General features: G+C 35.7%; 1 protein-coding gene and 1 long non-coding RNA gene across 18 annotated transcripts in view; one reads left to right on the top strand and one right to left on the bottom strand.

Annotated features, from left to right (window-relative positions):
* PIK3C2G (phosphatidylinositol-4-phosphate 3-kinase catalytic subunit type 2 gamma) overlaps positions 1–14870 on the bottom strand; it is a 483857-nt gene that overhangs the window by 282844 nt on the left and 186143 nt on the right. Inside the window, exon 20 of one of the 17 annotated variants that reach the window (XM_011520701.3) lies at positions 2637–5754. The exons of the other annotated variants lie outside the window; for them this stretch is intronic. Coding sequence (XP_011519003.1) covers position 5754 — 1 coding nt within the window. The 3' untranslated portion in view covers positions 2637–5753. Of the gene's footprint in view, positions 1–2636; positions 5755–14870 lie in introns of those variants that run through there. 17 annotated transcript variants of the gene reach the window in all.
* The window catches only part of LOC124902891 (uncharacterized), a 32969-nt gene that overhangs the window by 1927 nt on the left and 16172 nt on the right, over positions 1–14870 (top strand). The window contains exon 2 of the long non-coding RNA XR_007063234.1: positions 9955–10024. This is a non-coding gene — a long non-coding RNA (uncharacterized LOC124902891). The remainder of the gene's footprint in view (positions 1–9954; positions 10025–14870) is intronic.

Below are 14870 nucleotides of genomic sequence, written 5' to 3'. Positions count from 1 at the left end.
GGAGTATTTGCATAGTTATATAATGCTTTATGAATTGGGAATGTTGAAGTGGCAACTGTGTGAATAATTCTTGGGCGTCAAGGAGAAGGGTCGTTACACTCTAAGATGCTTTCTATAAATATTTTGGCAATCCAATTTTTAGAGAATCTTTCTAATGTCTAAATGATTAGAGATGGCATATACAACAATTATTAAAGTTAGTGAATGGTAACAGATCAGAGATAGACTTTAGTATTTACTCATTTTGATTTAGCAATTGTCCATTTTCTTATTATCATGGTATCACTTTTCCGTGAAAGAATTTTCTGTTCATTAGGTCCCATTCAGTTGTTCTCTTTGTTTTTTTAACCAAAATTTTAACTTTTTAATAACATTTCTTCTGATACATATAGAAGGAGTTTTTCGGTGATTACAGAAATAAAAGGGTACACATTTTACTTTTCAGAAATTCCTGTAAACAAAGATATAACAAAAGAAGTGGTTTTTCATTTCCTGTGTGCTGTAAAATGAAAAAAAAACTTTAAAGCCATAATAGGGTATGAAATAAAAGTACAATACATTCACATCACATTGAATGAAAGTCTCAAATTAAATAAATATACTGATATTTTTTATTACTTGTGAAAAATTATATATACATAAACATACACACATACATACATACACTCACAAACACACACACACAGACAGCACCATGTACAGAGTAGGTACTCTTATGCTTTCTGAATGCTAATTCTATTTCTTAATTTGTAAGATCAGTTTAGGTTCCAGGTAATCATTCTGGAATAAAAAGTCGGATATTAGGCTGGGCATGGTGGCTCATGCCTGTAATCCCAGCCCTTTGGGAGGCCAAGGCAGGTGGATCACCTGAGGTCAGGAGTTCGAGACCAAACTGGCCAAAATGGGGAAACTGTCTCTACTAAAAATACAAAAAATTAGCTGGGCATGGTGGCGGGTGCCTGTAATCCCAGCTACGTGGGAGGCTGAGGCAGGAGAATCTCTTGAACCCGGGAGGTGGAGTTTGCAGTGAGCCGAGATTGCACCATTGCACTCCAGCCTGGGCCACAAGAGTGAGAATCTGTCTCAAAAAAAAAAAAAATGTAGGATATTGACCATACAGAGGAACTTGTAGACCGAATGATTCAGATCTAACTCAAGTCTATATAAAAATGTATGCATAAAAAGATGCATAATTTTCTAATCATTTTAAAAGGTATACTCTTAAATATTTTAATCAATTGTAAATGTTGTTAATATCTGAAGAATTATAATGTTATAACTTGGAACTCTTTTTCACATTCATCCTTACAATGAGTCCTGTTTTAGAAACATAATATGGCTACTCCTCTCTCCTTTTAGCCTCTCTATATTTGTATGAGTTCGTTCTTGGAATCTTTTCAGTTTACTCTTATCTGTCATCTCCTCAAAATACTGTTTCAAAACCCCTCTTCTAAGAATTCACCTCAACTAATCTCCTCCAAATCGAAAGATATTTTTATTTTTCTTTCCTTGAGGGCTATTGTAATTATCATGCCATTATTGCAATATTACTTTATAAATGTTCTTTTCAGATTTGATTGCTTATTTATATTTTTCTTATTCTTCTAAGGAAGATGTAAACTTTTTGAGGACAGACAATAATATTCATGTTTGTGAAATTGGTCCAGTGCATATTTTACAGTATTCCACACTCAGTGAGTACATTCATTGTCTGGGTGAGGTTAATAGAGTTATTTCTCATAGTTTTGGGGTTAATACTGTCAGTTAGAGAAAAGCTATAGTGATTATTCATATCAATATATCTTTCATTTAAATATCATTGATGCAAAAACATATTGTATATTAAATTCTAATTGCATATTCCTATATTACTATAGTGCAGATCATAAATGCTGCTAATATTGGTCAATGTTTTCATCCCCTTAATAGAAATACTAATTTCTATTCTAAGTTTAATTCAGCCTCACTACTGAATTAAACTTTTATTTTTAAAGTTTCATATTTTTATATCTTCATTTGAATAAGAAAAATACACAGATAGACGTAGGAAATTAAAAGAAAACAAAGCTTCAAGAACAGTTAAATCAGAAGTTTAAATAGAATGATTCACAATGCTGCATTTGACACTTGAGACTCCAGGATGCACTTCTGTCTATAGCACATTGTACCCCTACTTTTATCTTGTTTTTGTCATCTGCTTTGCTGGTTTGTCCTTTGTTGTCTCATTGGGAAATCTTAGACTTCTCTATTACTATAAGTGATTCTGAGTTTGTTGCATACAGAAAACAAAGAGGCCCAGACACAGTCATGAGAAGATGACTTTGCTTCCTTCACTCTACAGGCAACTACCACCACATGCACCCACCCGCCTGTTCCAGTCCACTCTTCATTTTCTCCTCTTACTATGTATGGACTTTGTGTACCAATCTTCCTGTGCTACAGATATCACACCCTATCATTACTCAAGGATTTTGCACCAGAAATTCTTTCTTCCGTCTCATCAATGTTGCCCTCTCTATTTGATTTTTCCCACCAGTATATTTAAAAAGCAATTTTTCCTATTGTAAAAGCAAAGAAGCAACACTCTTTTCATAGACCATGTCCCTCTTCAACCATTACCACATTTCTCTCTTCCCTTTCCTAGCAAAACTCCTAAAATAATTGTTTTTAATAGCTCTCCTTTTCACTCTTCAATATATTCCCATCAGGTTTTACCTCTACTCGATTGAAAGTGCTTTTTTGATGACCTCCAATGACCTCTATGGTGCTAATCAGATCTCAATTTTACTTGACCTACCAGTAGCATTTGACACAGGTGATCACATCTCTCTTTTGATGCTTTATATAGTGTTACAGAATTCCATGCTCACTTGGTTTATATTTTATATCCCTGACTGCTTCTCTTCAGTTTTCTTTTTTGGTTCTACTTTATCTCTTTGATTTTTAAAATGTTGGCGTTACCACTAAATATTTGGACTTCTTTTCCTTTCTATTTGTATTCATTCTCCTATGACCTTCTCTGTTAATGTGGCTTTGAACCTTACGTATATGTTGATAATTTTCTCATTTTTAGTTCTAGCCCAGATGAAAATGTTCAATAGTTACTTCACACTTCAATAGATCAAAACTGATCTCTTGATAATATAAGCCAAATTGTGCCTTTCATCTTCTCAGAGCCCTCTAATCATTTGGATTAAAGCTAATATTCTAATAATGCCTAGGAATTTTTATATAACCTGCCCTTACCCCTACTCTTTCCCCCTGTAACCTCATCTACTACTAGTCTTCCCCTCATTCAAGTTAACCCAGCCACCTTAGCCCCATTGTTGTCCTCCCAACACCCCAAATAGACACCTTAATGCCTTTGCACACGCTATTACTTCTTCCTGGCATCCTCTTCCTTCAGATACATAGGCGGTTCACTCTCTTACTTCACTGAGGTCTTTTTCAAATGTCACCTTTTTAATAAGGCCTTTTCTTGCTTCCCCAGCTTAAAATTGCAACTACCTGACCCTTGTACTTTTTATGTTTCCTACTTGTTTTATTTTTCTCCCTAGTACTTATCAATGCCTTACAAGTATGGATTTTATTTCTCTTAAAAGCTACATAAGGAAGGACTGGGTTTTTTGTCTCTTTTATTCATTGCTATATCCCTGAAGACTACAATGTGGCTTAACTCATGGAAGGTGCTCAATAAATATTTTTTTTTTGGTGAACAAGCTCTTCCTATGGGACAGGATTATAACTCTTATAACTCTTACAGATATAAGCCTGCATGACTCCTGGTTGAATTCACACGGCTATCCAACACCGTGGCCCCATACTGCATTAGTTCTTACTATAACCTTCTGAAAGTAAATATTATTATTCTAATTTTTAGTGCCTGAGAAAAATGAGTCCTGTAAAAATTAAGTATCTTGCTTAAAGTGAGACACCTAATAAATAGTAGAAACAGGTTTGCATCCAGGTACAGTGAGGTAGATCCTAAACTATTAACTACTACTTTATGAATTAAAGAGGATAACAATATTTTCATATGTGAAACACAAACTGGTTGCTTTGGAACCAGTTGATAATAAAATAAACGTATTTTACAAATGTATCCTGTGATTCATTATACATGGTGTGTGATTAATAAATTTGATCTTTATGCTATAGACATTGCAAAATCATTGTTTAGTTTTAAAGCAATATGGAGAATGACGTGGTATGGATAGAATCTTGAATGAGGCAGACAGAGTAAAAAAACATAGCACTAGCAGTAAGGAAATGATGTCATACTGAGTTAAAGGTTTAGTGGAGATAAAGAAAGGGTATTGATTCATGAGACATTTTGCAAGTGACTTGTTATATACACGGAGTGCTAAAAGAAATTACCCCAGATACATACATGAGTGGCTCAGAAAGTTGGTGGGAAAGCAAGTCAAATTATGGAGTGGTCTGATGAACTTGAAGAAGTCAGAGGTGGAGTTTCTAACACTCAACTCTATTTCAGTGTGAATAGTAACGTCAATGTAATAAGGTTAATACATTAAATAACGCTTTAAAAGAACTAAGAAATTGATGAAGAATTTTACTTGTACTTTCTTGATCTGTATTATACTAGCAGGCAGATGAGGGATGTGAGTGAAATATGTGTTGGCTATTGAAATGCAAAAACATGTATCAACTGGCGATCTGTGACTTTTGTTAGATTTCTCTGTATGTTAAATTTCACTGACACTAAATGACACACATATTTCCAACTTGTTCTGACACTTAGCATGTTTCAGAAACTTTTCTTAACAGGCCCATAAACTGGTTTGTTTATACAGTGATTTTTCTACTACTCCTTTTACTCATTTCAAACTCTGTTATTAAACTTAAATTTTAAATTTGCAATTAGGATAAGACAAGAAGAGCAATGCAATGGTAGGAGTCAGGAGTCAAATGTCAGGAATCTGAGATCCAAATTCCATGTCATTAGTAATCTGTGATATAACCTTGGGAACTGAAACTTTGGTGATACTTCTTATCCTTTCTAAATGACTCCAAAAACATATTCTTGAAGGTATAAATACGTATTATATATATTATGCAATATATATGTTTAATAAAAACTGTGTTAAGCCCAATTGTATTTCTTGTATAGGTAATAAAATTGATGATCAGGGAGGTCGAATAATTTTTCAAGGGCTACCCAGCTTAGGAGAGGCCTGAGTTGAAATTTTTCTTCAAGTATGTTTTTCTCCAAATCTTGTTCTCCCTCTATTACATTATTCTATCTTTTATTGTTATTTTTATAGCTTTCATAATATGTAAGTAGAGTGATGGGTACTAATGTATGAGGCACAGGATCAAATGTTGGCTCTTCTTCTTTATAGCTCTGTATACCTAGCATCTCTGAGTATTAATATTTTTCAGAGAAATGGAGACTAAAGAATTGTTGTCAGTTAATGAAGTAATATTTGAAATGACTACCATAGTGTCTAGCATTAACTATACTACGTGTACCATAAGACAATCTTGTCAAGACAAGAAGGAGTAGTCAAAGCAGAAAAGTTAGATGATTAGAATTCTTAGCAACACTCTCTCAGTCAGAGCCACACTGGAGTCTACTGTTTAACCTTAAACCTTAGTATTCCTTTCTTTATAGCAGAGAAAGAACAGCAAAATTTTCCAGAAGATTATCCAAGTCACCGTCTGATCACCAATTCAGTTCTTGAAATTTCTTGATCCTGGAAAGGGGTCTGTAGACACTTGACACAATTATGTCTAAGAATAAATAATTGTTAATAAATACATTGAATTCAGGTTTACAATCCAGTCAAGGAAGACTTGAAAATCACTAAATAAAATGTTTAAAATTAATTTATTGAGACAAAAGGGTTGGAAAAATGACTCTAGTGTTTGTGGTAGCTGCCTGAAATAGCTAGAATACTTTAAAAAAACACATATTGCTTAATCCATGTTTATTATAACTTGTTTATATTTTCTATTTCCTCTGCAAGCGTTATCTATTATGTGCATAGCAGGCAGTCAACAAAAACTGGGAGAATAGATATTTGAATTAAAGAATGAATGACTAACATAAAACTCTCTTTCCTCAATACGCTTCCTAGGCAGTTTCTTGCTTCTGTTCACTGACGTCTACCAGTCTACTTATGCAGCTGTCCCTATAATATCTAGTAATTGATTATCTAGACTGTCTTGTGTAATTTTCAGCATCATCAATCAATTTATGTCAACATTTTATTGAGCAGCAGCCTCTTTAAAAATAATCATAAATTTTAGTTGGAAGAAAACAGAAGTTCCACCATTTTGGTAAATTAATGACATTTACAGAACTCTCAGGAACATATGGGCCTAGTGCCCAATTTAAAAAGGAAAGTGACACATACATTAGGGTTCTTCCCTTTAACAACTTCAGATAACTAAACCCAAGCAAGATAACCCAATTATCTGACATTCTGTCAAGAGTGGTTAGTGTATCAGGTAGACTGTCAAGTCTAAAGAGTCACTATTTGTGGAAGCTGTTCATTTTTCATTGGTCAAAAATAAATCATACATACCAAAGCAAGTACAAGAATTCTAAGTTATTAAATGTAACAAGTGTTTGATTGTAATATCCAAGTCTTGGTTTTGTTACACTAAAAGCAACACATCTGAAGTTCTTTAGACAATAAACAAGAAAGTAACTGTCATTTTCTTATAAATATTAATTGTATACAAATGAAGTATAAAATTGAATTAGAAGAAAAGCAAGAAAAATCCCCATTCAACATTTTCAAGGAGCAATCTTTTCATGAACAAAGATACAAAAAATTAAGATGGAGCCTGAAAGTAAAAGCCTTATCCATTAACTAATACAAAATACAGAGAACTCTGAGTCTTCACAGCCCTGGGAAACAAAATAGAAGTGGAGAATAGAGAAGCCAGAAAAAATCAGAAACTGTTTAGTAATTCCCCAATGCTCATAGAGAATCTCAATGCAGAAAATTGTATTTTAAAAGATGGTAAGTGGTTGCTTAACAAGGCCTCCCCAGAAAACACTTTTTTGCCAGATAACTAGATGCAGCCTTACATTTTCAATCAGGGTTAAAATAAACATCGTTTTTAAATCAGTACAAAACAACTCACACTATGAACGGGATCAATGTAACACTTGATACTGTTTCAAAAACCCTTATTCAGAACGTCAGATTATTCTGTAAGTCATTTAACTCAACTTCACCCAATTCCAGAGAGCTAGAGAGTCCATTTTTTTAAAAGAGAAAAATACATCTTTTGTAATATGACTTGTTCTGATTACCTGCTGTTCTAAGGATAGTAGTCAAGGTAAATTAACCTGTAGGCAATACACATGTATGTGGTGTGATTATTTTTATTCATTCAATAGGTATTGAATGAATTGTATACTGTGTGCAATGTTCTATGTTAAGGATAGATGGTTAAGTTTTGTCCTCACAGTGCAGAAGAGAAACATAGGGTTTGTCTATACCAAATCTACTCTCCCCTTAATGTCTGCAAAAAGAATCTGCTTTTATTCAGATATCAAAAACCTTAGAGGAAGATGACCAGTTTAGAGATAAATTCTGAATATGCTAAACCAATCATGTAAGCTGAGTCATCAGATTGCCATCTGGTCATATGATGGGTTCATGATAAGGGACCCAATTCTGGCAAATAATATGAGAAGTTAACTCAGCTTTGGGGTTTATGGAAAAATTTTCTAACTGAGGAAGAGACATTCTCTTTACTCTTGCTGCATGGAATCATGTATGGATGTGAGACCCATTGTGTCAATCTTCTTGTAACAATGATGTGAAGTAGACTAAGGACAAGTCAACATGGTGAGGATGGCACAGCAGAAAGGTGGAAAGAAATTAGGTTATGACATCATCAGTGAGCTGCTGCAATAATAAACTTTGGAACCACACTACTGAAGAGCTTCTTGTTATGTGAGATAAAATAATTAATTCTTCATATAATTGTAAACCAGTTGAATCAGGGTTTTTTTTTTTTTTTGTTACTTGTAGCTCTAAGTATCTTGAAGTGAAGAAGTATCTTCAAGTGAAGGAAGGGAAATGGTCAAGTAAAGTATGAAATATGTTAAGAACTGTATTGTAGATGTGTACAAGGGAGCCAAGGTCAGAGACATCTTCAAAGAGGATAAAATCTTGAGCTGAGTCCTAAAGGATTCTATATAGACAGACAAGGGAACAACTGCATTTCAAGAAGTTGGAAAACTGTGTGCAAAGTCATCAGGGCATGAAAGATTTGAGAATTTGAGTAACTACTTGAGAATAATAAAAAGAAAGATTATATTTGGATGTAGAAAGGCTTACAAGATGAGGTGGGAGATAGGCAGAGTGGAAACTATGAAGCTCCATTGCCAAGTCATGTTAAGAGAGAATGGATTTTCTCTCTTAACATGGATCTCATACCCTAATTCTAAACTCTGTCATAAGAAAAGAGGAAACTGGAATTAAGAAATTATGCTAACCAGCTGGAGGTTACCCATGACCTGGAGCTGACTTTATGAGTTTGGGATCAAGTTGTTACATGTGTAGATTATTCTGAGAGCAGTGTGGAGGATGGATGGACTGGGGATAGGTAAGAATGAAAGTGAAGGAAAACAGCCTGGAAGCGGTAGTGATAGTCCAAGTAGATGATACCAAAGGTGCTAGCTATAAAGTAGAAAGGAAAGGACAACTTAAAGACAAATTTATGAGAAAAGAGAATCAAGACTTAAGAAATAAGTAAATAAAGATTATTGGGTAAGAATAATGTCTTCTAGATTTTCTGTGTTGGATATCTTAGTAATGGCTGTAAACTAGGGCATTGTGTATTTTTAAAAGTTTGGGAATGGTGGGTGAAAGAATTGAAATGGTAGAGGGTAGGAATATTGAATTCAGTTTTGAATTTCTTGAGCTGAGATGCCAGTCGTATACCATGGCTACATAAATATCTTAATAATGAGCCCTCCAGAAAAAAAAAAAAACCTGGTTACAAAATGTACCCATAGGTTAAATCTCTTGGAATTATTTGTAAAATTTTTGGACAAAAGTCAAAGACATTTTTAGAGGATGTCTATTAAAATGATGATTCTTACTGGAGTAGTTAGCTAGTAATCTTTTTTTGTCTGTTAAGACTAATTTTGGTTTTTGAAAAGAAAGCCAATTAATATGTGGAAAGGTGGATATTGGCTTTTCTTTCATGCCCTCTTCCTCTACCACTTTATGGAGAGGTTTCTTGAATAATCTATGCTGTTGTACTTGTATGGCAGAAACTGCTACAGGTTTACCAAATTAAACTGCATTTTGCTTCTGTATATATACATACATGGACCACTTTCCTTTGCCACCTTGCAGTTAGGTGGGGGCATTATTACTGACTTCTGGCCTACGGAATATAGACAAAAGTGATGTCTGCTATTAGCATCTAAAAGCATCTCCAACATCATGCTATGATTCTCTTGCTATGATTCTACAATTATATGCTATGATTCTCTTTCTATGATTCTATGCTATGATTCTCTTTCTATGATTCTATGATTATATGCTATGATTCTATCTTATTTGGGTCCAGGTTCAGGGAATACATTTGAGAGTTCCAAATTTAGGGGATGTAATGGTTTCAATGTGTTCCCTTTAAAAATTCATGAGCTGGAAATTTAATCCCCATTGCAACAGTATTGACAGGTGGGGGTCTAATGGAAGATGTTCAGGATCTATTCACTCATGAATGGGTTCATGCCCTTATAAAAAAGTCTCCCAAAAGTCAGTTTGCTTTTCTTCACTATTCTACAACATGAGGAACAACAGTCCTTTCCTCTGGAAGATGCAGTGTTCAAGGTGCAATCTCGGAAGCAGAGACTGGGCCCTTACCAGACACCAAACCTGCTAGCATCTTGATCTTGGATTTTTCAGCCTCCAGAACTTAGAGAAATAATTTCTGTTGTTTATTTCTCAGATATTCTGTTACTGCAGCACCAATGGATGAGGATAGGGAATGACTGAGCCATAAGATGAAAGGATTCTGGGTAAGTCCCATCAATGAGCTGATGACATTCAATTTTCTGTCACCATCCCAGATCTTTTCCCTGTCCTTCAGGCCTGTACCCTACTGCTTACTGTGTATTTTTAGTTGGAAGGAAACCAAACACTCATTTGCCTACATTTTATTATTGTCATGTTCTTTCCCATCCTAGAGGGATTTATTTTCTAACTCATTTAACTTGATGAAATGGGTGACTTAATTGTATTAGCATAATTGGTAGTTGCTTAATTGAACAGTGTTTTTGAGAAAACTGAGAAAGTCTTGGTTTTATGAAATAGGTGCTGAAAAATAAGTACAAAGTGAGTCTACTAAGTAGATTACTCAGTTATTGTTATCATAACTCATGGTTTAATAGTAAAACTAAAAGAGCACACTTAATGTTTTATTTTTATTTATTTATTTTTTTCGAGATGGAGTCTAGCTCTTTCACCCAGGCTGGAGTGCAATGGCGTGATCTCGGCTCACTGTAACCTCCGCCTCCTGGGTTCAAGTGATTCTCCTGCCTCAGCCTCCTGCCTCAGCCTCCCAAGTAGCTAGGATTACAGGCACCTGCCACCACGCCCAGCTAATTTTTGTATTTTTAGTAGAAATGGGGTTTCACCATGTTGGGCAGGCTGGTCTGAAACTCCTGATCTCATGACCTACCCTCCTCGGCCTCCCAAAGTACTGGGATCATAGGCATGAGCCACCACGCCGGGACACATTTAATGTTTTAAATATCAATTAGACACTATAAAAGAAAGATTCTGGAAACAATCTGCTATCTACTTCAAAGCTCCTTCAAGGATACAATTTTAGTGGGCTTATTGTATATACCTACTTATTAACATTTACAACTGACAGCACTTGTGAGTCATGCCAACAACTAGGGGCAACAATTTTGAGCTTTTAAATATCTCAATTTTCAATATGGTTTTCATTTCAGTTTTGCTCTTAAGTTAAAAAAAAAAAGTCACATCTTCAGTACTTGAATGAGTTCCTAATTGATAGAAAAAACAAACATTTCCTGAATTCTTCAAATTACCCTTTTTTGAAAGTAGATGTTGAATTAGAAAGAAATCTGAATTGGGCATGAGATATCATAAACGTATTTTAATTTCAATTCTTCAGTCAGCTTAGATGATTGTCATTGGAAAAATCACTTAACATGTTGAGATCCCTTTCTGGGATAGCAGATGATCCTTCAAGTCCCATTTGGCTTCAAAATACTGTAACTCTATGAATATCTGTTAGTGTATTCCTTTTGGATGCCAAATTCAAATATTATTAGAAGACAAGAATAATTTCTAAACAGAATGCCTTTTTGCCAACCATATTTTTTGTTGGCTAGAGCAAAGTCAGTCTGATTGAGAAACAATAAATAATTAAACACTATAATACTGCTTTTCAGGGACTTAACCCAAATCTCTAGTATAAACTATGACAGTGGGGGACTAACATTATTATAGGGAAACCAGATTACTATCTAAGGAAGCAGTGATGTAATTGGATGTGGTTATTATAATGAAAAATTGCTGGACAGTGGATTAGGAAGCTCAGTTCCCAAAGGCCTGGGTGGGTCCAAGTTTCAACATTTGAGTTCATTATGTATATACATAATGTTCATTTCCATAACTCTTCACTTTTTCTTAACAAAATAGAAGATTTTGAGGGAAAAATGATTTAAACCAGTGATACATTGATGCTGGAGCTCTTTTCTTGGCTTTTGACTTGATTTGTGGTAGAAGTTTGTATAAGATTCTATTTTCATAGATATTTATTAGCAGTAATAAGGCTTAAATGACACCAAATTTATTTAAAGATTGTATGGTATTTTAAAAATCTTTTTATTAAAGGAACTACATAAAATCTCTATTGCATAAAATAGAAACAAAACAGACAAAAACAACTGTTCCTGTATTATGCCTTCACTGGAAAACTATGCTAATGGATTTTACAGATTATTGTGTACAAAGGAAACCTTGTTACCACTATCTGCCTCTTTTCCTTCAGGTTGGTTGGGATAGAGAACAGTTGCTTTTGGTTTAAGCAAGTTGCTGAAGGTAGGGATTCTATCCTGTGTATACATTTCTGAGGACAACAAAGTGGAAAGATGATTACAGCAGATCAATATTAAAAGTCAGTGAGACATATCTTTCCCTAACAAAAGATGAAGCAATAATTCATCATTTATTACATTGTAAAGGTAAAAAAATAAATTAGTTGCAAAATAATGATTCTCAAAGGTAAAGGGCTGAGGCTTTAAAGCCCCCTATGGATTCTGTATCATGTGTGCTGTATTGCTCTGCAAGACCTCCCTGAAGTACAGCTCTTTCCCCTTGCTTCAGGGAGTGTTCCAGACATCAAAACAAAAAGAGAGAGCATTTACCTCCTTTGTGTATTCATTTGTAAGCCTTTATCAGTATTTAAAACTGACAGAATGGGAGCACACAGACTTTTTTACTCACTGGATGTCTGGCCTTGCCTCTCTGCTTTTATTTGGAAAAGGTCATAGGCAAAACTGTAAAGTGGACAAAATTTGTTGAGTTCCCTCTCTCTACTCTGTCCCTGCCACGTGGCCAGTGGGCTCTTTCCTCCTGCCTGGATGCTAATGTTAGCCCCTGAGCTTCTTTAAGGCAAGGATCATCCTTTGTTTTATTGTTAATCATTCAACAGTGTCCATCATCTCTATGTTTGTCACATTAATGAAAAAATGATAAACTAATTCCCATAATCATTAGGTTCAGAATATATATATTTTCATATTAGAAGAGAACTGCTGGAAGAGAGCAATACTTAACCTCAAGGAGTGACTTGCAAATGAGAGAATTTCAGGCATTAGGGGATACGTATTGTGGAGAGGCGGGTGAGAGAGACAACTGTGACTTTGAATCTCATGATGCCAAATTTCCACATCTTTTTGCTTTATTTAAAGTCATCTGTGACTTGAGAACTTGCCCCCAAAATTTTAGATAAAAGAGTTGAGGGAAGATTATTTAAAAAAAAAATGGACAGATTTTTGGATCATCTCAGTTTTATGGATAGCATATTAAAGTCACAGGATATGGTCATTTAATACCCTGTACCAGAGACAACATTGGCTTAATTCATTTCGTGGTTTTCTCAACTGGTACAGAAGATGCTGCTCCATCAACTTGTTCTTAGGCCCTAACTCCTGTCTTGGTTTGTCCTGGACTTCTGCTCACATTCTCCCTCTTCTCCAGTTTTGGTTTCACTAGTGATATCCATTGCCTCGTTTCTGATCAGGTCAATCTCCTGGAATTGCTTTAGCCAGGCCAGCTCTTAGTTGACCTCTGAAGCAGCTCTCCTCCACCCCCTATCGACATAAGTCTGCATGTGCACAGCTGAGTCCAGGAAACTTAATCCTATTCATACATTGAATAGTAAATTATTGAATGTCTATAAAGTGCCAAGTACTGTTCTAGGTACTTGTGATATATCAGTGAATAAAGCAGAAAAAAGATCCTTACATTGATAGAGCTTGCAAATGGGAGCCTCACTTCAGGTTATCCCCATACTTTGAAAGGAACATTTTGAAGAGATTTTTGCATTAGGTGCCTTAAGTGACACCTTATAAAAGGAGCTGTGTTATAATATGGTTTCCTACCAGACAGTTTTTCATTCCAATTGGTTCTCTCTTGGAGTTTGTTCAATCAGACTTGGTAGGAGGAGTGGGAAAGACTGCAATACTGTTGTTCTACCTACGATGTATCCCATAGCATACTGATGCTCCAGTTTCTAAAAACACATATTTAAATTTTTATCTTCCATAAGAAATACTTATTGTAGGTCAGGTTCTCTAGAACAGGACATGAGGCAGAATTTCACTGTTTGTGATTTACTGAAGAAGTGCTCTTCAGGAAAAATCTTATGAGGGAGTAAGAGCAGAATTATAGGGAAGGGAAAGGAATTAACAAGGATGAGATCTCGGGTCAAGTCTAACCTTGATCTGATTTATGGGGAGGCTCTGGAATGTAAATTATATCTTAGAGATTTTCCCACTTCGTAGGCCAGGGGGCTGTGGAATCAGAGGCTAATTCTCCAGAGAAGGGGCCGTATTTTGTTAGCAGTCACTGCAGCAGATGGGAGTGGGTGCAGCAGCCAGGTAGAGGCGCACAGCAGTGCCTTTGACAGTGCCCAATTTCATATTCCCTGAGTACCATGGAATTTCCAGTACTGTGTGTGAAAATATTGATGGCCTTACAGACATTTCTGTGGATTCATAATTTTTAAAACATTTTTTGAGTATCTACTGAGTTTCAGATACTGTGCTGGATTGGTACATGGAAGAGTGTGACATGATTGCTGTCTTGAGCTACTCTGTGGACTAAGAGGGGGAAGGGACAGGGCAGCAGTGGTGTCAAGGGAGTGTGATATGATGTCTGGCAGAGTCATGAACAGTATGCTGTTTGACATGATGTGGAAGCAATACTCAATCCCAGATGGTGGCTGGGAGAGGGTCAGGGAAAGCTTCCTGATGATGTGACATCCTAGGCAATTGACTCAGAGCCTTCATAAAGTCTGTTATATTATTTTCCTGTGGCTGCCGTAACAAGTTAACACAAACTAGTGATAACAGAAATGTATTCTCACAGTTCTGGAGGCCAGAAGTCCAAAATCAGGGTGTAAGCAGGGCTGTGCTCTCTCCCAAGGCTCCGGGGAGAACCTTCCTTGCCTCTTCCAGCTTATGGTAGCTCTAGGCATTCCTTGGCTTGAGGCTGCAATCAATGCCTCCCTTTTCATGACCTTCTCTCTGTGTGTGTCTTCTCCTCTTCTGCCTCTCTTTAGGTCACTTGGCATTGGATTCAGGGCTCACCCTGATAATCCAG

The sequence above is a fragment of the Homo sapiens genome, chromosome 12, assembly GCF_000001405.40.
Source record: "Homo sapiens chromosome 12, GRCh38.p14 Primary Assembly".
Taxonomy (NCBI): domain Eukaryota; kingdom Metazoa; phylum Chordata; class Mammalia; order Primates; family Hominidae; genus Homo; species Homo sapiens.
This window is presented reverse-complemented; position numbering and strand designations above follow the sequence as displayed.